A 22,771-nucleotide genomic window follows, 5' to 3' on the forward strand; every position below is an offset into this window, starting at 1 on the left:
CTCATGCTCTGTGCGAGGGCTGAGCCGAAAACAATCTTGGGGGCCCCACCTCGAGGCCCCGGGGTAGGGAGGAGGGGAAGCTGATGCACTTATTCCTGGAGGCTGAGGGGAGGGTGCCCTGGGGACCCTCCCTGCTATTAGAGACTGCGCAGGCCGCTACCCCAACCCCCTCTTGTCCCAGAGACAGGACAGGAGAGACAGACGGGAGAGGCAGGCAGATGCCTCCAGCAGCCATGGGACAGAGTCCAGATGTCTTAACGGCCGCATAAAATGGGGCATGTGGGCTACCCAAGGAGTGGCCCAGGACTCACAGGAAGCCACCCTCCCGGGCTGGAATCCCAAAAATCCAAGCCCCACTCGCAGTCCTAAGTCTTCCTGCAGAAAACCTCTCCCCCTGGATAAGCAAAGATCCCTGTGAGCTCAGCCCGACCCCTGCCTAGTCCCTGCTCCCAGCTCCGCAGTCTCCAGGCAGCCATGGTGCCTCTGGCTGAACCATCCACCTGAGGACCCATACGGGCCAGAGCCAGTGCTTGGGGTCCCCAGCGGCCTCCCTCCCTGCTGCCTCAGCTGCCCCTCTACAGCCCTGGTCACCTGCAAGTCATCTGGCCAAGAAGGCTGACCCAGAGGCCGGACTGCCTCGTCACGCCGGCAGGGCCCCTCGCAGGGGCACGCTGACAGCAAGGAGGCTCTTAGTGAAACTCAAGGATCTTGGCAGGAGGTGAAGGCGGTGCCCGAGCCCCCCTGCCTGGCGTGGCCTCAGTGAGCTCCCTGCCCTGCAAGGTTTGGATTTCAGGTCCTAGGCCAGCTCCCCACTGTCCTGCCTGTCTGAATTCCAACAGATTTTATTTGAAAATGTTGCTTTTAGCCCAGCGTCACCTCTGAGCTGCGACTTTATGTTCATCATGTGCTTCTTCCCCCACTTCTACCTGCAGACCCAAGAGCAGGGCCGGGTCTCCTCCCCTTAGGAGCAGGGTGAGGGGGTCTGGGAAGCCCCCGCCCACCTCCCTGATCACCTGGCCCCAAGCTCTGCCCAGGCCCCCTACCTGCATCCAGCCACACCCCACCTGTCCCCAGACCCAGGACATACCACCCCTCTCACGTCAGCACCTTTGGGGTGGCATCAGGACTTTGGGGACAGAGCAAGCGTGGAGAGGGGACCCCTCCTTGTGAGCAGGAGAGAGAAGCAACCTGACCACACCAGGCGGGGAGAGAGAGAGAGGTCATCCGGAAAGAGCTGCCAGTGAGCCCATTCCACAGGGGTGCTGGGACCCCGAGGACACAGCCCTGCCTGTCCCAGGGCCCAACAGTGACTGCAGTGAATGTCCTCAAGCATCAGCTGCTCGATGGCAGCCGGGGTTTCTGACTGACCCTGTGGGGTTTTCTCCATCAAATTCCTTTGAACATCTTTGTCCTTAACGATCCTGACTGATCTCAGTTGTTTAGGCCTCTTCTTGGCTGCCAGGCGCACACTCAGGTGTGCTTTGCTTTTAAACGCTGAGAAACCCTCGGCAATGTTTTCTTTTCTTTTGAACATCACTACAGCAGCCCCCAGGAGGGGTGGGTGGTCCCACCGACAAGGGCCCCCAGGGCCCACAAAAGGCCACTCTCTCATCCCAAAGTGCATCGTGCCCTGAGCCTGGAAGTCGGGTCTGGCCTTCAAGTAGGAGAGGCCAAGCCCCACAGAACCCCCAAGGGCGAGCGGGAGAGTGGGCGAGTGGGCGCTTCCCCGACGCCCCTCCTTGGGGCTCAGCGTCACCCTCCCGGCCTGAGTCGGCCCCTGCTGGACAGCTCTGTTCCTGGGTTTGGTGACAACTCTCCCACACCCAGGGCTGTGACTTGGGGACACTGGTCTGTGGAGTCTGTGGATTCTGCGGACACCTGGTCTGTCACAGAGAAGCCCCGTTAGTCCTTTTTCCCAGCAAGAACACAGTCAGGGAAAGACCTCCATCTCCACGGCCTCCTCACAAAGACACTGTGAAGACTGAAAAATTAAGCCACACAGTGAGAGAAGCTACCGTACGTGTCATTTCTTAGGATTCACGGAGGTCTTTTGTCGAGAATGTATGAAGAACTCTGACAAATCAATGAGAATAAAGCACCCGGCTGGCAGAGGCAGGGACAGACCGAGGCGCGTCGCGATGTGGGTGTCCGGTGAGCACGTGGGAGGGGCCCAACCTCACCCATCGTCCGGGAGGTGCAGACTAAACCCTGAGACGCCGTCCTACCCCAGAGAGGCCAACATTTCAAAGATCCACAGTTCCAGGCGGTGGGCAGAGTGCCACGGCCGGTGTGGAAAATGGTGGCTGGCATCCACTCCAGTCTAACGTTTCGTACCTGGGACCCGGCAGTCCCAGGCCTCAGTGTGTGTTCTGGGTAGGAAGCACCTACTGGTGTTCACCCAAAGACATGAGATTGTTTATAGCATCATTATTCCCAATACCCCTGAACTGGAAAGAACTCAGATGACCACTGGCAGTGGGGTGGGGGTGGAACAGCCACGTAATAGAACACGGGGTGGCGATGAAACCAGCTCCTGCAATGTGCAGCCACATGGCTGCATCTCACAACCGGGAAGCACCTGTCGGGAGGCGCTGTCCCTCCCAGCCTTCTGCAAGCACAAGGTGGGCACCTGGGAGGAAGGATACCCTTCATGCTGCGGCCGGGGGCCTCGCCCACTCTCCACACCCAGCCCCGGCCCAGCCACAGCCTGGCTTGTGCTGTGACCACTGCTCCTTCTCTCGCTAGACTGGGTGCTCCTGAGCGTGGACACTGGGCCTCTGGTCATCTGTGTGAGCTCTGCGTGGTGCCTGACACACAGTAGGAGCTTGGCGAGTGTCTGCTGAGTCAATGAGAAAGGAGTGTAGGGCCAGAAACACGGGCCGACGGCTCCCTGCCAGTGAGTCACTCTCGGGGCACTGCTGAGTCATAAGTTCCTTTCACTTTGGATGGATTTTTAATTGTATGTTCTGAACAGATGGAAATTTCTTGGCTGTTGGGAGTCAAACTGTGGATATTTGGTGAGTGTATCCAAAAGGAAGTGGCCGCAGTATGAGTCACCCAGGCCATGTGAACTTTGATGGGGGAAACAGAACCAGCAACTTCTGCTGGTTCACGACCAAAGGAAGCAGTGCCGGAGCGTGAACAATGGGGTGCAGGCGGCCAAGTTCTGAGTGGCTGCTGGGAGCGCTTTCCCACTGTCTGCGGAGCCCGTGACACCACAGTGTCCCTCGAACATGCGGGGATGGCCGGCCAAATCACCCAGCCTGCTTTCACGAGCGACCGCTGAGCTGTGTTGCGGCAGTCCCTCCCAGGGCCGCTGGGCCAGGCCCAGCTGCGGGGTAGAGGAGAGGATGGGGAGAGGGGCCTGAGATGGGGCAGGGAAGTCTGTGAGCTCAGCCCGGGACCTGGGGCCAAGCACCAGGAGGCCAGGGGGAGTCTCCAGGGGCTGGGGCTGGAGCCGCATCAGAGAGGAAAGGGGTGTTTGAAAAAGGGGCAGGGCCTGGGACCCAGGAAACTGTTCTTCCAGAGACACCCGTGAAGCTGAGCTTTGCCTCTCAGGGAAGCTGTGACCCCACGGGTGCTGCCCAGAGAGATCGGGCCAGGTGGAGCCAAGATGGACTGGAATTCCCCGACGGGGACAAGGGGCCGGACGAGGCTGACTTGCCCTGTCTGATGAATGGTCAGGTTTGCTTTTTCTCCTGAAAACACGAGGCAGTGATCCCGGCCAGCTAATTCCAGCAGACTGGAGACGGGATGGTGGAGAATGAGGCTGTGGGCGGGAAGAGCAGATGGGACTCGCCAGCATCCTCACGGCAGGGCCGCGCTATTGCCCTCCCTCCCCTCCTACTCTCTGGGGTCCCAGGAGCCCCAGATACGCAATGCTGCCAGGCGATTTCTGGCGCCCCGCAGACCCCTGCCCCTGGAGTTGGGCCAGGTCCCGGCTGGAGCAAAGGGGGCTCCTTCAAGCCCGCTCCTCCCTGTCAAACCCGAGGAGCCTGACAGGCGCAGCGTCACCAGCGTCACCGGGCCATAGTGAGCGGCCAAGCCAGCGTCACCGGGCCATAGTGAGCGGCCAAGCCAGCGTCACCGGGCCATAGTGAGCCGCCAAGCCAGCGTCACCGGGCCATAGTGAGCCGCCAAGCCAGTGTCACCGGGCCATAGTGAGCGGCCAAGCCTTGGTCTGCCAGAGCCGGCCGCACCAGAAGGATTTCTGGGTCCCCAGTCCTGGAGGAGCACACGGTTTACACCAGGCCTTGGGAGGGGAAGAGGCAAGGCGTGGGCCCAGCCCTCACTCCCCAGGAGAAACCCTGTTTGAGCGGCAGAGGAGACTGGAGAGACCCCAGGGCGGGGATCCCTGAGAGGAGAGAAACCCGGAATTCATCCACGGAGGCGTTCACCCAGAGGAGACCCGGAGCTTCTCCAGGAGAGGCTGGATTGCTCCAACAGGGGCCCTGAGGAGCTGATGGCAAGAGCGGAAGGCAGCTCTGACTCGTGCGTCTGACTCCAGGTGTGGCCGTTGGGGCTACAGTGGGACCAGCCTGTTGTCACTGAACCCACAAAGTGCCTCCGAGCGCGGGTGGAGAGAGGGGGACCTCCCACCGTCTGCTGGCCTTGAATCTTGAATCTAATTCCCGTCTGTGCTTTGATGGGAGAGGCACTGGGAGCGGGCGGCTTTTTCAGTTCCTTTTATCTTGAATGGCCTTTGGGGGATTTTCACAGATTCTGAGTTCAAAGCCCAGGGAGGTGTGGGAACGTGACATTCCTCACCGCATTCCTCACCGCATTCCTCTGTAAACCAGGCGGTGTTGGCACCCATGAGCCTGTGTCTTCTATGACATCAGGAGTTTTATCCCTCACGTCAGAAATCAGGGTTCCAGGCGCCTTGGTTTTTCTTGGCGCCAGCGGCTTGGCTATAGAAGAAAAACTGAAGGGGCCAGGTGCGGTGGCTCACACCTGTAATCCCAGCACTTTGGAAGGCCAAGGCGGGTGGATCACGAGGTCAGGGGTTCGAGACCAGCCAACATGGCAAAACCCCGTTTCTACTAAAAAAATACAAAAATTAGCCGTGCATGGTGGCGGGCACCTGTAGTCCCAGCTACTTGGGAGGCTGAGGCAGGAGAATCACTTGAACCCAGGAGGCAGAGGTTGCAGTGAGCCGAGATCATGCCACTGCACTCCAGCCTGGGTGACAAGAGCAAGACTCCGTCTCAAGAAAAACAAAACAAAAACAACAACAACAACAAAAAAGAATCACTGAAGGAAGAGTCTCTGGGGCAAGGAGGCTACACAGGGCTCGGCTCGCGTCCTCTCTGTCTGGGCCACTCCTGGGGCCTCCGGGTCAGCGGCGGGGCGGGTGGTGGTGTGCACTCGGCCCCTCTGAGATGCGAGGTTGCAGTATTGGCATGTATGAGAGGTGGTGCGTGAGCTGCTTCCAGGGAGGTGCTCCCACTGGGTCGCCTGGTGAGGGGGACAGCCTGGCGGGGTTGGCCGTGGCACAACCTCCTTCTGGCAGTGAAGGACCCTCAGGCCGAGGGCTGACCAGAAGTCAGCATGGGCTCAGATGCGTTTCCAGCCCACTATGGGAAGTTCACACAGAATTAAACAGAGGAGTGAGAGTCCGACCCCCTCCACCTGGCCCCGTTCTCCCGGCCACCTCACGGGTCCTTGGGGTTCAGACTCAGACCTGTGGGGTGAGAGAGAGCAGAAGGTGCTGGGGAGAGGAGCTGGAGGTTGGAGAAGGGAGGTTGGATGCAGTTGGCGGCCCTCCAGGCTCTGGAGGGTCAGTGGGGCCTGGGAAGAGAGCAGCCGCAGAGGTGACTCAGGCCCAGCTGGCGGGGGAGGGACGCAGCCCTCGCTGCAACTGGACGTGGGGTGGGGCTCCCAGGCCTGGTCCTCCTGGCTCTGGAGACCAGCAACCAGCCTGGCCTCTGGGGGCCACTTCCAGCCAGTGCAGTGCTGTGCGTCCCACGCCAGCCTTTCCCCGACCTCTGCACCAGTTCCCTCCACACCCGGCCCATGGGCATCCGGCCCCAGCCGCTCATTCCAGATATAAGTACACGTGAGCCCCTCTCCCACTGCTGGCTGCCAAGGCTGGGCTGTGGGGTGGCGCCTTCTATCTCTGCAGATTCCTCTCCTCTCTGCCTCTGCCTGGTGAAACACTCCTCCATAACCATCATGTACAGTCCCTGACAACTGCACAAAGGCTAGGGAAATAAGGGGACCCCTGGGAAAGGTACTCCTGGGGGTCCCAGATGGGGAGGTTCTGATGCGTGTCCAGGCATGGCCAGCGTGGCTGAGGAGACGAGGCTGGGTGTCGCCTGGAGCTCCAGCAGGGAGACCAGGCATCCTGGAGGCTGTGCCTGGCCTGTCCGTCCCACACGGGGCAGAGCTAACCCAGGCCACATTGCTGGCCTGCCATGCACTGTGCAAAAAGCATTTGGAGAGAGAAAGAAAAGTTTGTGTCCTCAGTTACAAGGCACAGGGTGAAGTCCTTGTCCTTGGGATCCCATGGTCAGCCCCTGGGCGTGGCTTTTGAGCCCAGTGGGTCCAGAGGGGACTCAGTGAGGTCTTGTCTTGCAGAGTGTGTGTGGCAGTGAGGGGAAGAGGTTCATCTGCTGCAGGGCCTGGGAACTCCTGACACTTGGTGTGGCCTTGACCACCGGGAGCAAACGCAGTGCACACGGCAACCGGCTCTGACAAGGCAGATGCTCCTGCCCAGGGCAGGTCGGACCCTGGCTGAGGGAGACACAAACCTGAACGGGCTCTGACAAGGCAGATGCTCCTCCCCAGGGGGTTTCAGACTCTGGCTGAGGGAGACACAAACCTGGGAGTGGAGGGGAGTTTAGCACTGGATGGCCCACATGCAGCTAGGATGGCCGCAGTACCCAGGCTGGAGCGAGCGGCTTCTGGGGCCCAGGAGAGGCCCTCGAGCCCGCTGTCTTCCCGGCTGTCATCTCCTGGCAGGGATCTGCTGGGGAAATAGAATCTGACGCAACGTATTTTCCAACCCAGAAAACCTCTTCAGAAAGGTGGAAGAGAAAAAGCAATTCTATTACTGAGTAAGCGTTAAAGCCAGAATGCGAGGTGCGGCTGGGGCAGCCCACTGAAGGCATCGCAGAGACAGAAACCTCACTCCTTACAGCCGAGTGAACACTGAGCACCTGTGCCTTCAGGGGGGTTTGCAGTTTGGCGAGTGAGGCCCGCTGCTCTGAGGCGCTAATCTCCCAAGGAAACGTTCCTGAGTTGAGCCTGGGCAGAGGCTTCCTTAGCTAGAAAACAGATTTACATACATTTGAAAAGGACAGAGAAAGACTTAGAAGAGGAGAGAAGAGGGAGACTCTGTCCTTATTCTGCACAGGGAGGACGGTGTGTGTCCTCAGTTCCTCGCAGGCCACCCTGCAGCTCTCCTGCTGGGCAGCCCATGGGACACAGAGCGAGAGGACGGTTTGGAGGTGGAGGAAGCGAGGGAAGGACCCTGAGTTGGCTGGGACGTCCAGGCACCGTGGGGATGGAGCCTTATGCCCGGGGCCCCTGGGAGAAGGGCTGTAGTGAGCCACAGCACAAAGGACATCCTTCCTCCCAGGTGCCCACCTTGTGCTTGCAGGATCCTGGGAGGGACAGCGCCTCCTGACAGGTGCTTCCCAGTTGTGAGATGCAGCCATGTGGCTGCACATTGCAGGAGCAGGTTTCATCGCAGCCACGTGTTCTATTATGTAGCTGTTCCACCCCTACCCCACTGCCAGTGGTCGTCTGAGTTCTTTCCAGTTTAGGGGTATTGGGAATAATGCTGCTATAAACAATCTCATGTCTTTGGGTGAACACCAGTAGGTGCTTCCTACCCAGAACACACACCGAGGCCTAGGACTGCCGGGTCCCAGGTACGAAACGTTAGACTGGAGTGGATGCCGGCCACCGTTTTCCACACCGGCCGTGGCACTCTGCCCACCGCCTGGAACTGTCAATCTTTGAAATGTTGGCCTCTCTGGGGTAGGTCGGCGTCTCAGGGTTTAGTCTGCACCTCCCGGACGATGGGTGAGGTTGGGCCCCTCCCACGTGCTCACCGGACACCCGCATCGCGACGCGCCTCGGTCTGTCCCTGCCTCTGCCAGGCAGGCGCTTTATTCTCATTGATTTGTCAGAGTTCTTCATACATTCTCGACACAAGTCCTCTGTGAATCCTAAGAAATGACACGTACGGTAGCTTCTCTCACTGTGTGGCTTAATTTTTCAGTCTTCACAGTGTTTTTGATAACAGAAGTCCTTAAACTTCATGTAGTCCTTGTGATACACTCTTCTGGTATCTGTGTAAGATATCATGATTATATATTTCCTTATTTCACATTCTAAAATCTCTATTATTTTATCTTGAGAGCAATAATCCATATGGAACTGATACTTTAGCATGATGGGAGGTGAGATCGGGATTCATTTCCTCCGATTAGAGACCCCATCCCTGCAGCGCGGCTTGTTGAAAAGCCGCCCACATGGCACCGCTTGTTGAAAGGCCCTCCCGGCTGGGCGCGGTGCCTCACGCCTGTAATCCCAGCACTTAGGGAGGCCGAGGCGGGCGGATCACCTGAGGTCAGGAGTTCGAGGCCAGCCTGACCAACATGGCGAAACCGCGTCTCTACTAAAAATACAAAAATTAGCTGGGCGTGGTGGCGAGCACCTCTAATCCCAGCTACTTGGGAGGCTGAGGCAGGAGAATCACTTGAACCCAGGGGGCGGAGGTTGCAGTGAGCCGAGATTGCGTCACTGCACTCCAGCCTGGGCAACAGAGCGAGACTCTGTCTCAAAATAAATAAAAAAATAAGAAAAGCCTTTGCTGCTGAGCCACAGTCACCTCTGTGGTTTCTCAGCTACTTTGACATCATGGCAACTGTAGTGGCTTTCTTCTGCTTGGTGTTTAAATGATATATTTTTGCATTCCTTTACTTGCCATTTTTCTGTGTGTTTTTTGATGTATCCCCCATAAACAGAATATTACTGGATTTTGCTGCCTTCTCTAAACCAAGTCTGACAATGTTTGAGTGTTTGCTCACTTGCCATTGATGTAACCTCGAATATGTGGGGTTTCCACTGCCATCCTGCAGGTGGGCTTCCCTTCCTGTTCCAAGTTCCTTGTCTTCTCCTTTATCTTCTTTCTTGTTTTATTACCTATCTTTCTATTATTTTATACTCTCCTTCTATTCGCTTGCTTGCTACAGATTCTTTTAGTGTTCTATTAGTGGTGACTTCAGAAATTACAATATGCATCTTTGATTTTTAAGAATCTAATGGAAGTTAGTTTTTTACCTCTCCCCAGACAACGCCAGGACCTTTGAACTCTTTAATTCCATGATTCCTTGTGATAGATAGAATGACCCCTCCCCCAAAGATGTGCTTGTTCAAATCCCTAGACCCTGTGAATATGTTATGTTACATATTACACAATTGAAAAGAGACTTTTAATGAGGGTTGCGGTCTTATGACATCATCTGGACGGGCCCAGCCTGAGCACGTGAGCCTTCGAGGGCAGAGAACGTTCCCTGGCCCGTGCTGGAGCGATTCACTGGCTCATGATACGGAGATCATCTGGACGGGCCCAGCCTGAGCACGTGAGCCTTCGAGGGCAGAGAACGTTCCCTGGCTCGTGCTGGAGCGATTCACTGGCTTGGAAAAGAAGGGGAGGATGATGGGGAATGTGGGACCTTCAGGAGCAGAAGCCCCAGCTGACAGCCAGGAGGGAGAGGGGGCCCTGGGCTCACAATTGCAAAAACCTGAATTCTGCCGACAACAATAATGGGCTCAGAAGCGGGTCCTCTCCCAGGCCTCCCGCTCAGAGCCCAGCCGGCCAACGCCTGGACTCTGGCCGAGAGACTCTCGGCAGCAAATCCAGTGGAGCCCCCCGACTTCTGACACCAGAAACCGTCTGTGAGTGCAGGTCTGCGTTCTCAAGCCGCTAAACTCACGGAGATTTCTACGCAGCTGCAGAAGATGAATGCATCTCCCTTCTACGCCTTCTGCTGTGGCGGCCGTGAGTGTTAACCCACTGCTTCTAAACCCGTGAAGCCTGTCATGTGACGCTGATGTCCTGTGACTCTGGTGGTCCCTACCCCCCAAGGCCTCCACACCCCCCTCTCTGTGCTGTGTTCTGTGGGCCACGGCCACCCCTCATCAGAGCAGCCCCCTGGGGATCCCTTCCAGTGGTTGGAAGCAAACACTTTCTATTTTCCTGTGTCTGGAAATGCTTGTATTTTGACTTCATTTTTACAGGATATTTTTCCTGGATATAAGATAGTTGGTTACTGAGCAATGACATAAATTACAATATTATTGACTTCAAGCCCAAAGGAAAAATGAATATACAGGAGTCCACGTTGATTTGATTAATGATTGAATATGTAAATTCATAAGAAGGGGCAACTCTTAACTACAGAAAAATTCCAATGGATAAATGTAAAAGGAATAAGGGAAATAGAAAATCATTGTTATGACATTACAGTAATAATTGCTGCTGTCACCACTGATAAATGCTAAAATTAGTGGACAGAATTTTAAGGAAAAACAGGATATTTACGTAACTCAACATAGCAGTTATTGCAGTGGCTGTAGCATGCGTCCTCACCCTCATTTATCTCCCTGTTTCTAGGAGACGGAGCTTAATGTCACTCCCCTTGAGTGTGGACTGAATTTAGTGACTCAATTTCCAAGAATTGAGCAAGAAAAGGGAAAAATAATAACTTTATGTTGGAGAAATGCACAGAGTTCACCTTGCCCAAGTGATCAAAGGTGACTTCACAGTGGTAAGTCAGGACAATACCCTGCACCCTGACGTGATGTCGTGAAAGGGCACTCGCGTACGTGGTATTCTCTCCACAAGTCCATAACCCACGGCAATTGTGAGTAAGCCTCAGACAAACCCCCACCGCGGGTCACTCTCCGACATTGCTGGCAATCCTCTTCAAGAGTGTGCAGGTTATGAAAGGCCAGGACACACTGAGAAAGGGTCCCAGATGTGAGGAGACGAAGGAGATTTGACAGGAGAAGCATGATGGGATCCTGGAACAGAGCAAGAACGTTAGTGAAGAACAGGTGAAATGCTGCTAGAGCCTGTTGGTTCTTTGATAATAGCGTACCAAAAACAATTTTTTAGTTTTGATAACTGTACCATGGTTATGTAATACATTAACACTGGGGAAGCTCAGTGAATATGTGGACTCTTGGACTATTTTTATAACGCTTCTTGTGTAGAAGGTCTAAAATGATCTCAGAATACAAATTTAAATAAATTAATTTAATGCTCAAAACACCCTTGATTGGAACTTACAGCTGGCCCTCTGTATTCATGGGTTCAACCAATCACTAATTAAAAATATTGGAAACAAAAATTGCATCTGTACTGACCATATGCAGACTTTTTCTTGTTATTATTCCCTGAATAACACAGTATACCGACTCTTTACATAGCATTTACAGCACATTAGGTATTGTAAGTAACACAGAGATGATCTGAAGCATATGGGAGGGTGTGTGGAGGTGGTATGCAAACACTGCACCATTTTACAGCACGGACTTGAGCATCTGCAGATTTTGGCATCTCCGGGAGGTCCTGGGACCAATCCACTCTGGATACCAGGAGACAGCTGCATTTTCTCTCTAAACTTTGTAACGGTCTCATTCCATTGTCTCCCAGCCTCCATCATCTCCTTGGGAAAGTTAGCTTAAGTTTTGTTTTCCTTTGAAAGAAGTTGCCTTTTTTCCCGTTTTTAAAATTTTGTCTTTAGCTTTCAGCAATCTGACTGTGATATGCATAGGTGTATTTTTCTTTGTATATTTGTCTTGAACTTGTCTGGGTGAGCTCACACACTGGGGTTGGCTGCGGGTGACTCAGCACCTGGGCGAGCTCACACACTGGGGTTTGCTGCGGGTGATCAGCACCAGTGCACACACACCTCCATCCCCCATCAGACTAGCCTGGGCATGGTCTAATGGTGGTGGCAGAGGCACTGCAGGGAACAAGTCCAGCCACACAGCCTCACTTCTGAAGCCTGGGCCTGGGCCATGTTTGCTGACACCCCTTTGGCCAAAGAGAGTCACTAGGCTGTATCATCATCAGAGCCTGGGGTGTCCCAAGTCACACAGCAAAGGTGGGACCCAGAGAGTGGGAGCATGAGCCACCAGTAAAATCTATGCACCAGATTCACTGCCAGTGAGAGGCCCATCCACTACTGCCTGCCGCAGGCCAGGGGGCATCAGGGAGCACATGAATACTTAATACTCATTTGGACTGACGGTGCAGAAGCTTCTGTGCCCCTTATCCTCTTAACACCCTCAGGAGGTGTGAAACACCCCCATTTTACAGAGAAGTAAAATCACTCACCCCCAGCACACACCAGGTTTGGGGCAGGGCCAGGGGCTGACCTAACAGTCATCTCTGGAGCTGCTTTGAGCTACTGCCATGTTCCATGGGGAATGTGGTAGATGGGCATTCCTGTCCCATGGACACCTCCGAGGTCACACGCCCAAGCTGGTCAGCTGAGAAATGCCATCACCCACCTCACCTAAGACCAGGGGTGATACCCTGCCAGCCCCCTGCCATCATCCTTTTCAAACTCAGACTCTTGACAGTAAAGCCCAGAAACCCTGGGTGGTCCCAAATAGAAGCTGCCCCTCAGCCATGGAGCTCTTGGCCTGAAGGCCAGGATCAGCAGCAGGGTCTGAGATGGGCCAGCCTCCTCAGAAACCCCTGCTTACTTCTCCCACCCAACTGAGACCAGCCCTGGGGTACAACCCTTAAGCTGGGTTTGGCTGTGGGCTCCTCCCCACGGGGGTCCCTCCTGATGAGGGGAGAGCTCAAGGTGGGGTTGCCACACTGTTCCATGAGCAAAGCCAGAGAAGCCCCCCCAGGACCCGTGGAGGTGCAGCTGGACCACAGCCAGGTGCTGCAGAGCCTGGGGGCTGGACTCCCCTGGGACGCAGGTGACCATCAGCCCAGTGCAGGCGCCGGCCCCTCCTGCAGAGAGTCCGTCCCAGGGTGGAAGCCAGGCTCCTTGGTGCCTCGGGTCCAATCAGCCCTCGTGGGGAAGGGGGACTGGATCAGGCAGCTCCAGGGGGAATTTGAGGGACCAAGAGGATGTTGCCACTGGCTCAAGGGCAGTGCCTGCCCCTCCACCATGTCCAAGCACTGCCCAGAGCAGAGGAAAGCCCTGGAGGTGGATGCCGCCCAGAGGGACCCGCACAGCCCACACCAGGAGCTCTGGTGGAGGGAACAGAAGCAGACACCCGCATGGACACCACCCTCCTGCAGCGCTGCCCCCACCCCTGCCCCTCCCCTGCCTCCTCCCCACCCCTGCCTCCTCCCCTGCCCCTCCTCATCCCTAGCTGGGCTGCTGCAGTGGCTGATGACACTGTCCTGGCCTGGAGGAACAGAGACACATCCTGGAATTGTACGCTGGTCTCATTGTTGTGGCCCCTCTAGATGCCTGCACGGGGGTGTGGGCAGAGCCCACTGGGCTGTGCCGTTCTCTCCCCTTCCACAGAGCCTGACCTTTCAGTAGCTGCAGACTTGTTCATGGTGGTTCCAGTGCCTGAACAGGGAGCACAGGAAAGCTGTGGGGCTGTGGGGGGCGGGGAGGGGAGGGGGCGTCTGTTGAAATGTTCTGTTCGAGATGGGAACTAAGTAACCTCCTTGGCCTGAAAATGGGCATTGGGAGGAAGCAGATTTGGGGACGGGGATGTAAGGCTGGGAGGGGTCTGTGCGATCTCTGGGAAGCCATGAGGCTGGGCAAGATGGCCCAGGGAGTGATGAGGTGAATGGCAGAAGGGGCCAGGCACTGGGGTCTCCGACCCTATGAGGGGCATGGGAGATTGGCAGTGGGGTGTCAGGCGGGGGGTGGGAGAGCCAGGAGAAGCACATTCCAAGGACAGACAGAAAGAGGTCGGCTGACGGCCATGACTGGGAGGCTGGTGGGTGACTTGCTGGACAGACTTCAGCTGTGGGTGGGGCTGGGCATCTGACTGATGCCATGGGTGCAAGCAAAGGGCCGAGAGGAGCAGGACAGGACGGTGGGTGTCTGTCCTCCAGCACCATGCAGAGCAGGATGTGGGGAGGGAGGGAGGGGCTGGGTCTTCCTGAGTCCAGCGGCCGTAGCAGGGAGTGCACATATAGAGGAGGACACACTTGGGGATGCTGGATGGCGGGGACCATGGAGGCTCCCTCGATCTTCCTCATGGAAGGGGAGCTGAGGGTCAACCACAGAGGTGGGGGAGGAGGAGGGACACTGCAGGCTGGGGGATGGAGGAGGGGGAGGAGGAGGGACACTGCAGGCTGGGGGGATGGAGGAGGGGGAGGAGCAGGGACACTGCAGGCTGGGGGATGGAGGAGGGGGAGGAGCAGAGGCACTGCATTTGGGGAATGGAGGAGGGGCAGGAGCAGAGGCACTGCAGGCTGGGGGATGGAGGCAGGGAGGAGCAGAGGCACCGCAGGCTGGGGGGGATGGAGGAGGGTGCCCCATCTCTGCCAATCACTGGGGACCCATTCCCAAGTCCAGGGCTCTGCCTTGATGAGCCATGCTCCAAGCAATCCTCTCTGGGGCTTTTAGATGAAATATCTGAAGACCAGAGAAAGGGGCAGTGGGGAAGAGGTCTTTGCAGACCACTCCGGAGACAGGAGAGGAAGAGAAGAGTAGAGCACAGAGATGAGGGGGCATCCTGCGTGGAGGTGGCCTGGAGATGATGGCCTGGAGGTGGCCTGGAGATGATGGCCTGGAGGTGGCCTGGAGATGATGGCCTGGAGGTGGCCTGGAGGCAGCCTGGAGGTGGCCTGGAGATGATGGCCTGGAGGTGGCCTGGAAATGATGGCCTGGAAGTGGCCTGGAGGTGGCCTGGAGATGATGGCCTGGAGGTGGCCTGGAGATGATGGCCTGGAGGTGGCCTGGAGAGGGCCTGGATATGATGGCCTAGAGATGGCCTGGAGATGGCAGGGAAATGCCACGTGGGGGGTACCAATTATTAAGGGGACTAGTCAATTGCCAAAGCCTCCGATTATGATGGGTATTACTATGAAAAAGATTATAACGAATGCATGGGCTGTGACGATGACGTCGTGGATGTGGTCATTACCTAGAAGGTTGCCGGGTTGGCCTAGTTCAGCCCGAATAAGGAGGCTTAAAGCTGGAGGTGGCCTGGAGATGATGGCTTAGAGATGGCCTGGACAGGCCTAGAGATGATAGCCTGGAGGTGGCCTGGAGGTGGCTCGTCCCCTGTTGCTGCATCCTCATGGCAGCCAGGGGTCTTTTGGAAGGCCTGGCCAGCCACTGCTGAGCCACTTCCCCCAGCTTCATCCCCTGTGACTCTGACAAGCCCCCACCAGCCACAGGGATGAGCAGACCCTGCCCAGGGACACCATCCAGCTGCCCATGTGGCCCTGAGTGCTGGCTTACCTGCCTGCCTATGTCTCTGGGGGTCCCTGTTGGGAGCCCCGGCTCCCCAGCAAGATTGGTCCTCTCCTGGGTGGGGGCTTCCGCAGCAGCTGGAGAGAAGGGGGAGCATTCCCCATTAATTGAACCTGGGCTGAGTTTCTGTGGGAGCTTTGCCCTGGGAACCCATGGTGGCCATAAAACACCAAACTCAGATGTTGCAAGAACCAAACTCAGAGCCCCTGTGACATCAGTGGAATGAGAGCGGGAAACCAGCCCCTGGGGAATCAGCCATGTTCTGCAGCAGAGGGAGGGCATGTGAGATCCAACTGAAGCCTCTTCTGCCTTCAGCAAAGGCTGCGGTGCAATCCTGCATTCTTGTTCAGGCAAATGTTTTCCTTGAAAAAACCTCTTGATGATGAAGCCGGTTTAACTGGTGTTGACCAATGGGGTGTCAGCTTTGAAGGATGACACTGGTCAGCCTAGGAGGTCTTGGTGGTGGAGGCCAGGGGCCCTACCCAGACCCCGGGGGACCTGGCTGCTGGGCATGTTGATGGCTCCCTTGTTCAACTGCACCCCCTCTGGGAGCAGCCCTTGGTGAAGAGGATTGTAATACATGACCCCAAAATATGCCACTTTTGCATAAGAATTATTTTGAGCTGAAGGCAATTCAGAAGCTACAGATTCAGGAAGAGCTCTCTACCCTCCTTTTTCGCCTAAAAGCAGGGCATACATTTCTCTGGGTAAAGGTGTTCCCCTCTCCAGTACCAGGCAGAGGAGAATGACTCTTAACTACGAAAAAGCCCCTACCAAACAACACTTACCTCCCATGCATTTTTTAATCACCGCCAACAATCTACCACCCCTAGGAGCCCAAACCCCCTTTTTCCTTTGTCCTTCTCCACAATTTATCACCCTTTGTTAAAATGGTATATAAGTCCCCGTGTCTCATCCCTTCTTTGGGTTTTTGCTTCTTGTCTGTGAAGCTTCCGTGCACATAACATTCAAATTTAAATTTAATTTTCTGCTATCTTTTCTGCTGCAAATCTGCCTTTTGTCAGTTTAATTTGCAAACCTCAGGAACAGAACCTGAGGGGAGTGATAAAGGTTTTCCTCCCCTAAATAAGCCAATAGGGAAGGATACAGTGTATAAAGGTCCATAAGGCCCCTGCTCTTATGGGGGCTACTTGGAAGGGCTACCCCAGCCCCACAGTGCCCAGGGGTTGGCTGATACCATAAATCTCCTGGGAGAATCAACACTTTGGCCTTGTGTTTTTAAAAACACAGATATGAAAGCAGGTACTAGCACCACGCAGAGCCCTTCCTTAGAGCGCAGAGGGGCCATTTCTCCCATTATCGGATTCCAACCCCACTTGACAGGTGGGAAACAGCAGATAAAGGACTCCAGGATGGGGCTTCCCCAGGCCAGAGAAAAAACTCAACCACCCAAAAGTACAGAACCCACCCAGGCTCTGGAGGGGTCCACGGCTGAAAATCCCATCTTGGGACCTATGTTTTGGGAGGGGAAGAGTGGGGAGGATCATTTTCTCCTTCATTAATCACAGACACTTGGGTTTATTGTTGTCGACTTTCTCTGACATGTGTTGGAGCCAATATTTATTTGTTAAAGGAAAACCAGCAGTAAAACATTTGCTTTGTTACAAAATAAAAGCCACATTCCAGGGAAGTATACAAAGGGCTTCGCACACTGAGATGCCGCTCCCTGCCACGGGAGGCTGGACGACTGCACGGGAGAAAATTCCAGCCAGCCCCAGGCTCTTTGTGATTCTTCCTCTAAAGACTCGAAAGGAAGAAGCAATCTTCATTAACAAACAAACAAACCAAAGAGGGGAGCCGACTCTTACTGAAACTTTAAACAGAACCACATGGACCCTCCCAGGCTAGTAATCCAAGTCTCCAATCCACTCACCCAGCCCTGGGGCAACTCGGGTTTCAAGCATAGAATTCTCTGTCACTTCCACCCAATACACAGGGACAAGGGCACTGCCAGGCTGCTCCCTCCTGGGCCCTCTCTTTGCATGACAAGGCAGTTGTGGTCTGAGACCTGGAGGTCCCGCAAAGCCAGCTCTAGGAGGGCCTGACCCCAAACTCCTCCCCATCCCCGCAGTTCTCCCCCTGCCCTCCCAGCACCTCACCTTCCTTTGGGGCTGGCCAGGGAGGGAGGCCTTGGAGAAGCAGGCAGGTGAGGCCCTGGGTGACCTCTCAGGTGACAGGGAGGCACATTGCACTGCTGTGACCGTGCCACCGCCCTCCTCAGTGACTTACGTGTCAGGGAAAATACTGAGATTCCCCTGATTAGTCCTTTAGCCCAGGGATCACCAGGAACAGAGTCCCTAAACTGGAGGCCTGATTCTTTCTCATCACTGTCCAGAGCTGCTCTCACCAGGGCCACAGTGGCCCCGAGCCGCCTGATTCCTTCTCATCACTGTCCAGAGCCGCTCCCATCAGGGCCAAGGTGGCCCCGAGCCGCCTGATTCCTTCTCATCATTGTCCAGAGCCGCTCCCATCAGGGCCAAGGTGGCCCCGAGCCGCCTGATTCCTTCTCATCATTGTCCAGAGCCGCTCCCATCAGGGCCAAGGTGGCCCCGAGCCGCCTGATTCCTTCTCATCATTGTCCAGAGCCGCTCCCATCAGGGCCACGGTGGCCCCGAGCCAGCCACAGGAACCCGTCCCACTCTCCTCGGAACCTCCTCCCCAGCCCCCTGGGTATCAGGCTTGGTTTGCACCTTTGTCTCTGCTGCTCCCTGGTCACAGCGCACGCCCTCCCCATCCGGGGTGCTGTCCCTGCTCCTTCTCTGAACTCCTCTGTCCAGGGGCTGACTTGATTTCCCTGATTGCACCTCCCTGAGCCCCTCAGATCCAAAAGACCTGAGCCAACCCCTCACCTCTGCCTTGATTCTGGCATCTGCTGGGCCCGCCCCCAGGAGCCACATTCACAGCCTTGGACATCCATCCCCACCTTCATGCTGACAGATCCCTAAGGGAGGTAAGAAAACTGAGGCACGGGGTGGTCAAATGCCTCAGCCATCAACACCCCACTGGTGGATGGGAAGCCAGGGTTTGAGCCCCGGTGAGCCCAGGTGAGCTGGCTCCAGAGCCACTTATCAACGGAGGCTCGAATGTCCCAATCTCAGCACAGGTGGTGAATGCTATCACGGGGAAGACACCCCTTCCTCTTCCATTTCCTCTGTCTTGATTCAGCCTTCTGGCCAGTTAATGTCAGCGCCGTGGTGCCCATCCCAGAACAGAAGCTCCTGCTGATGAATAATTTCCGGCCTCACCGTGACCCAGCCTCTCCCGTGTTTATCTGTATCTATCTGTCATCTACCCCCACCTTACACCCAGCGTCCGTCCATGCACACACGCTCACCTCGCACCCAGAGTCCGTCCGTGCACACACTCACCTTGCACCCAGAGTCCATCCATGCACACACGCTCATCTCTCACCCAGCGTTGGTCCGTGCACACACGCTCACTTCGCACCCAGCATCCGTCCGTGCACACACGCTCACCTCGCACCCAGTGTCCATGCACACACACTCACCTCGCAACCAGCGTCCATCCATGCACACAGGCTCACCTCGCACCCAGCGTCCGTCCGTGCACACACGCTCACCTCGCACCCAGCGTCCGTCCGTGCACACACGCTCACCTCGCACCCAGCGTCCGTCCGTGCACACACGCTCACCTCGCACCCAGCGTCCGTCCGTGCACACACGCTCACCTCGCACCCAGCGTCCGTCCGTGCACACGCTCACCTCGCACCCAGCGTCCGTCCGTGCACACACGCTCACCTCGCACCCAGCGTCCGTCCGTGCACACACGCTCACCTCGCACCCAGCGTCCGTCCGTGCACACACGCTCACCTCGCACCCAGCGTCCGTCCGTGCACACGCTCACCTCGCACCCAGCGTCCGTCCGTGCACACGCTCACCTCGTACCCAGCGTCCGTCTGTGCACACATGCTCCCCTCGCACCGAGCGTCTGTCCGTGCACACGCTTACCTCACACCCAGCATCCATCTGTGCACACACGCTCCCCTCGCACCCAGCATCCGTGCACACGCTCACCTCGCACCCAGCATCTGTCCATGCACACACTCCCCTCGCACCTAGCGTCCGTCCATGCACATACTCACCTTGCACCCAGCATCCATCTGTGCACACACCCTCACCTCGCACCCAGCATCTGTCCGTGCACACACGCTCACCTCACACACACTCCCCTCGCACCCAGCGTCCGTCGGTGCACACACGCTCACCTCCCGCACCTCCCGTGGAGGCGGCATCCAGGCAGGGAAGCAAGGACACTCTGCGTCCATTCCTCTCTCTAAACACCAAGGCCCCCGCAATCCGAGGAATATATTTGACAGAAACAAGAAAAAAGGATGAAAGTGGCCAAGACAAGCCGATCCCTTCTATCTGTTTTCAGGAACATGATTTTGTGGCCCCAAACTCCTTGAAGCCCGATGCTTCCACCTCCCTCCCACTCCACTCTCCCCCGACACATCCGTCCAGCTCCCGTTCCTCTTGGGCACCCACCTCTGCCATCTCAGCAGGGTTCCCAGCACCCCCAGGCAAGGCCTGTGTGTGGCGCTTTACTGGGAGTGCGCTGGGGAAGAGGGAGGCATGGGCTGGAATAACCACAGAGACCGGCCCTGCACAGATAGCAGAAAGGGAAGGGGATGTGTTGCCCGGCCCACCTCGGCTCACGCAAGACGCTCGGACACTTGGAGACCTGGACTGAAGCAGCCTCCAGGGGAGGAGAGAGGGGTGCCGCTCACCACTGCCCCCTCCCAAGCCCAGCGTCTAGGTCTGGTTCACCCTCGCGAGGTCGCCTGGCCCATGTCTGGCTACCTGAGCTGGCCACTGCTGAGGCAAAGCCCACCCGGCTGCTGTTCTGGAAGTGGCTCTGGAAAGCCCAGCTCCTGTGGGTACAGGATCGCTGAGCGCCAGGCATGGGGGCCACAGCCAAGGCAGGATCGCTGAGCGCCAGGCATGGAGGCCACAGCCAAGGCAGCCGCAGGGGCAGGTGCTGGGCTGTCTAGGAGCAGTGACCAAGCACCCAGAGGAGCCCAACAAGGCCCAGCACATAAAACCAGCAGCAGAGGCCCAGGAGCCACTTAGCCAGAGAGACACCTGGTGTTCACCCCAGCACGCAGATGGGGAAAGGCTAAAGCACAAAGAAGCAACTGTGTACAGAGAGCTTCACCCCGAAATCAGAGACAGCCAAAGTCCGCCCAGAGAGGAACTGGTCGGAGTCCTGTCCAGGCCGAAAGGTGGTGGGTGGGTGCTTTAGGGGCCAGTGGGGAGCGAGGCCGAAGCTATCTCTGTGCAGCTGCCCCCTCACGCTGCTGTGGCCCCAGGGTTTGGTTCAGATGCTGAGTGTCCGGTGACTTCCAGACACTTCCTTTCCAGTCTCAGGGAACCCACCCCACAAAGCGCCTGCCCCAGGACCTGGGTGGCGCGTCTGTGTCTTCTCAGCATATCCGGTTCTTGGAGCAGGGAGACGACCCAGATCCTGCTCTCTGGCTCCTGGCCCGCTGCCCCCAAGCTGTCACCAAGGCAGGTCATGGATGTTCCGTGTCATGGCTGCGTGGGCCGTTCGACCACGGCCACACACGCATAGACTGAGGAAGACAGAGCAAGGGGCTGATCGCTGCCAAGCAGTGGATGCCAGTGCACCGTGACAAGGAGCCCAGAGCCTTTGGTGGGCGCCTGACTGTGTCTTCAAGTTCCCGGGATCTGTGTGGACAGCTGCCATCCCAGTCGGCCCTTTCTTGGTTTTCTTGGTTTTCAGAGAAGGGGCGAAGAATAAGGGGGCAGCGTCTTCTCCACCAGAAGACACACCTGCAAAGCTCCATGAAGGCAGGCACTGGCTGAGGAGGAAGAAGGAAACAGGTCTCTCAGGAGCCTCTGCCCTTGCAGCCAGGGATGGGCAGGAGGCCAGTGCCTGGTAGGGAGCAGCCTGCGGGTTCAGCTCAGGTGTAAACAGCATGGTCAGCTGGAAAATGGTCCCCAAATACGCCAGGTCTCAATCCCTGTGGTGCTTGAATGTGACCTTATGTGGCAAATGTGTCTTTGGGGATGGGATTGAGTTAGGATCCCGGGATGGGGGTGATCAACTGGGGTCATCCGGGTGGGCCCCAGGTGGCATTGCAAGGTTCGCACAAGACGGAGACTTGACATGGAGGAAACCATGGACCACGGAGGCAGAGAGCACCATGAAGAGGCTGTCCACGAAGGTCAGAGCGATGTGGCCGCAAGCCAAGGAGTGCACGGCCGCTGGGAGCCAAGAGAAGCCAGCAGGACCTTCTCCAGGGCCTCAGAGGGGCCCCTTGGCCTAGTGATGCTGGTTTCAGACTCCTGCCCTCCAGACCGTGAGCATGCGTTTCCGTTGTTTAAAATCACCAAGGCTGTGGCCATTTGTCACAGCAACCCCAGGAAGTCCACAGAATGGGAAAGGAGACGGGAGAGGAGGATGGCTGGGCTCAGCTGTCAGGCTGGGCTGTGCGGGGCTCCCTTGGGTGGTGGGGAGGAGCCTCTGAAAGGGAGCTCAGGGAGGGGCTGCCCATGGAGAAAGCACTGGGTGGAGAAGCTGTCGGTCAATTATCTGGTGATTGCACCTGCCTGTTGCCAGTCACAGTCTTCCTCCAGGAGGGGTCACCGACCACGGGCCACATCCACTCCTCTCTGCTGCAGGAATCCTGTCCCTGCTAAAGCTGATCCTGGCTTTATCTGCCCTTTGCAGAGGTGTGGGGCTTTGGCCCTCCACTGGGCACCGCACAGCGTGGGAGCCCCCTCCCCCTGGCCCCTGCGGTGGGGTCGGCTGAAGCACTGGGCTGGTCACTCGGTGGAAAAGGACACAAGTTCCCCTTGGGGCCCAGAGGCTGCACATCCGTCCTTCCAGGACTGGGCCTAAGGAATTAAATGGCTGTGAAAACAGGGGCACTGTGAGCCCCAGAGTCGGGCCATGTCATCTGAGGATGATGGTGGCAGCAGCAAAGCTCCAGATGTGGACACAGTCCCTTCACCTACCGGGGCTGCACTTCCTCCGGTGCCACAGCCAGGCCAGGCGCCCTCCCTGAGGGAATCCGCGGGTCCCGATGGCCTCTGGGGTGAGACACTGGGACGTGCCTGCAGAGCAGCAAACACTCTCTGGGCCTCACACCCTCTTCCCGGCTGCACAGCGGCACCCCCAGGGGCCTGCCCCTGCTCAAAGCCAGCCCCACCGCCCAAGGTCTGGACCTGCCTGCCCTGCAGGTGGGGCTCAACTTCCTCGGGTTTTCTGCTCCCAGGTGATTTTCCTCCCTGCAGCCAGGGCTGAGCACCTCGGCCAAGTGGCTCTTTGCT

The 22,771-nt window shown here is 56.9% G+C and overlaps 1 long non-coding RNA gene and 1 pseudogene across 1 annotated transcript, besides 13 other annotated features; one reads left to right on the forward strand and one right to left on the reverse strand.

Moving 5' to 3' along the window:
- Window positions 1,205–1,930: an enhancer, noted in NCBI's record as "H3K4me1 hESC enhancer chr21:46782348-46783073 (GRCh37/hg19 assembly coordinates)". NCBI's record gives its function as "activates a minimal SCP1, AML or CMV promoter by ChIP-STARR-seq in naive H9 embryonic stem cells {active_cell/tissue: H9 hESC(naive)}" and the evidence as "EXISTENCE:reporter gene assay evidence [ECO:0000049][PMID:30033119]".
- Window positions 2,351–3,550: an enhancer, noted in NCBI's record as "P300/CBP strongly-dependent group 1 enhancer chr21:46783494-46784693 (GRCh37/hg19 assembly coordinates)". NCBI's record gives its function as "activates an origin of replication core promoter dependent on BRD2, BRD4, P300/CBP, MED14 and CDK7 cofactors, with strong dependence on P300/CBP, by STARR-seq in HCT116 cells {active_cell/tissue: HCT116}" and the evidence as "EXISTENCE:reporter gene assay evidence [ECO:0000049][PMID:35650434]".
- Window positions 2,722–2,781: an enhancer, noted in NCBI's record as "active region_18588". NCBI's record gives its function as "activates an Ori minimal core promoter by ATAC-STARR-seq in GM12878 lymphoblastoid cells {active_cell/tissue: GM12878}" and the evidence as "EXISTENCE:reporter gene assay evidence [ECO:0000049][PMID:35858748]".
- Window positions 2,846–3,140: an enhancer, noted in NCBI's record as "tiled region #14562; HepG2 Activating DNase unmatched - State 5:Enh, and K562 Activating DNase unmatched - State 5:Enh". NCBI's record gives its function as "activates a minimal TATA promoter and a strong SV40 promoter by Sharpr-MPRA in HepG2 and K562 cells {active_cell/tissue: HepG2 | K562}" and the evidence as "EXISTENCE:reporter gene assay evidence [ECO:0000049][PMID:27701403]".
- Window positions 2,902–2,971: an enhancer, noted in NCBI's record as "active region_18589". NCBI's record gives its function as "activates an Ori minimal core promoter by ATAC-STARR-seq in GM12878 lymphoblastoid cells {active_cell/tissue: GM12878}" and the evidence as "EXISTENCE:reporter gene assay evidence [ECO:0000049][PMID:35858748]".
- Window positions 3,857–5,056: an enhancer, noted in NCBI's record as "BRD4-independent group 4 enhancer chr21:46785000-46786199 (GRCh37/hg19 assembly coordinates)". NCBI's record gives its function as "activates an origin of replication core promoter dependent on BRD2, P300/CBP, MED14 and CDK7 cofactors, and independent of BRD4, by STARR-seq in HCT116 cells {active_cell/tissue: HCT116}" and the evidence as "EXISTENCE:reporter gene assay evidence [ECO:0000049][PMID:35650434]".
- Window positions 4,238–4,989: an enhancer, noted in NCBI's record as "NANOG-H3K27ac-H3K4me1 hESC enhancer chr21:46785381-46786132 (GRCh37/hg19 assembly coordinates)". NCBI's record gives its function as "activates a minimal SCP1, AML or CMV promoter by ChIP-STARR-seq in naive H9 embryonic stem cells {active_cell/tissue: H9 hESC(naive)}" and the evidence as "EXISTENCE:reporter gene assay evidence [ECO:0000049][PMID:30033119]".
- Window positions 5,742–6,493: an enhancer, noted in NCBI's record as "H3K27ac-H3K4me1 hESC enhancer chr21:46786885-46787636 (GRCh37/hg19 assembly coordinates)". NCBI's record gives its function as "activates a minimal SCP1, AML or CMV promoter by ChIP-STARR-seq in naive H9 embryonic stem cells {active_cell/tissue: H9 hESC(naive)}" and the evidence as "EXISTENCE:reporter gene assay evidence [ECO:0000049][PMID:30033119]".
- Window positions 6,494–7,245: an enhancer, noted in NCBI's record as "H3K4me1 hESC enhancer chr21:46787637-46788388 (GRCh37/hg19 assembly coordinates)". NCBI's record gives its function as "activates a minimal SCP1, AML or CMV promoter by ChIP-STARR-seq in naive H9 embryonic stem cells {active_cell/tissue: H9 hESC(naive)}" and the evidence as "EXISTENCE:reporter gene assay evidence [ECO:0000049][PMID:30033119]".
- Window positions 9,207–9,717: an enhancer, noted in NCBI's record as "H3K4me1 hESC enhancer chr21:46790350-46790860 (GRCh37/hg19 assembly coordinates)". NCBI's record gives its function as "activates a minimal SCP1, AML or CMV promoter by ChIP-STARR-seq in naive H9 embryonic stem cells {active_cell/tissue: H9 hESC(naive)}" and the evidence as "EXISTENCE:reporter gene assay evidence [ECO:0000049][PMID:30033119]".
- On the forward strand, window positions 9,550–11,369 carry LOC124905041 (uncharacterized). Its single transcript, XR_007067908.1, has 2 exons — window positions 9,550–10,015; window positions 10,631–11,369. It is a non-coding gene; the product is annotated as an uncharacterized LOC124905041 (long non-coding RNA).
- MTCO1P3 (MT-CO1 pseudogene 3) lies at window positions 14,963–15,154 on the reverse strand (annotated as a pseudogene).
- Window positions 15,567–15,755: a silencer, noted in NCBI's record as "fragment chr21:46796710-46796898 (GRCh37/hg19 assembly coordinates)". NCBI's record gives its function as "represses an EF-1alpha promoter that drives an FKBP-Casp9 reporter gene in an ReSE screen in phorbol 12-myristate 13-acetate-treated (for megakaryocytic differentiation) K562 erythroleukemia cells {active_cell/tissue: K562(+PMA)}" and the evidence as "EXISTENCE:reporter gene assay evidence [ECO:0000049][PMID:32094911]".
- Window positions 18,549–19,549: an enhancer, noted in NCBI's record as "H3K27ac-H3K4me1 hESC enhancer chr21:46799692-46800692 (GRCh37/hg19 assembly coordinates)". NCBI's record gives its function as "activates a minimal SCP1, AML or CMV promoter by ChIP-STARR-seq in naive H9 embryonic stem cells {active_cell/tissue: H9 hESC(naive)}" and the evidence as "EXISTENCE:reporter gene assay evidence [ECO:0000049][PMID:30033119]".
- Window positions 19,550–20,549: an enhancer, noted in NCBI's record as "H3K27ac-H3K4me1 hESC enhancer chr21:46800693-46801692 (GRCh37/hg19 assembly coordinates)". NCBI's record gives its function as "activates a minimal SCP1, AML or CMV promoter by ChIP-STARR-seq in naive H9 embryonic stem cells {active_cell/tissue: H9 hESC(naive)}" and the evidence as "EXISTENCE:reporter gene assay evidence [ECO:0000049][PMID:30033119]".

Source organism: Homo sapiens, chromosome 21, assembly GCF_000001405.40.
Source record: "Homo sapiens chromosome 21, GRCh38.p14 Primary Assembly".
NCBI classification, from domain to species: domain Eukaryota; kingdom Metazoa; phylum Chordata; class Mammalia; order Primates; family Hominidae; genus Homo; species Homo sapiens.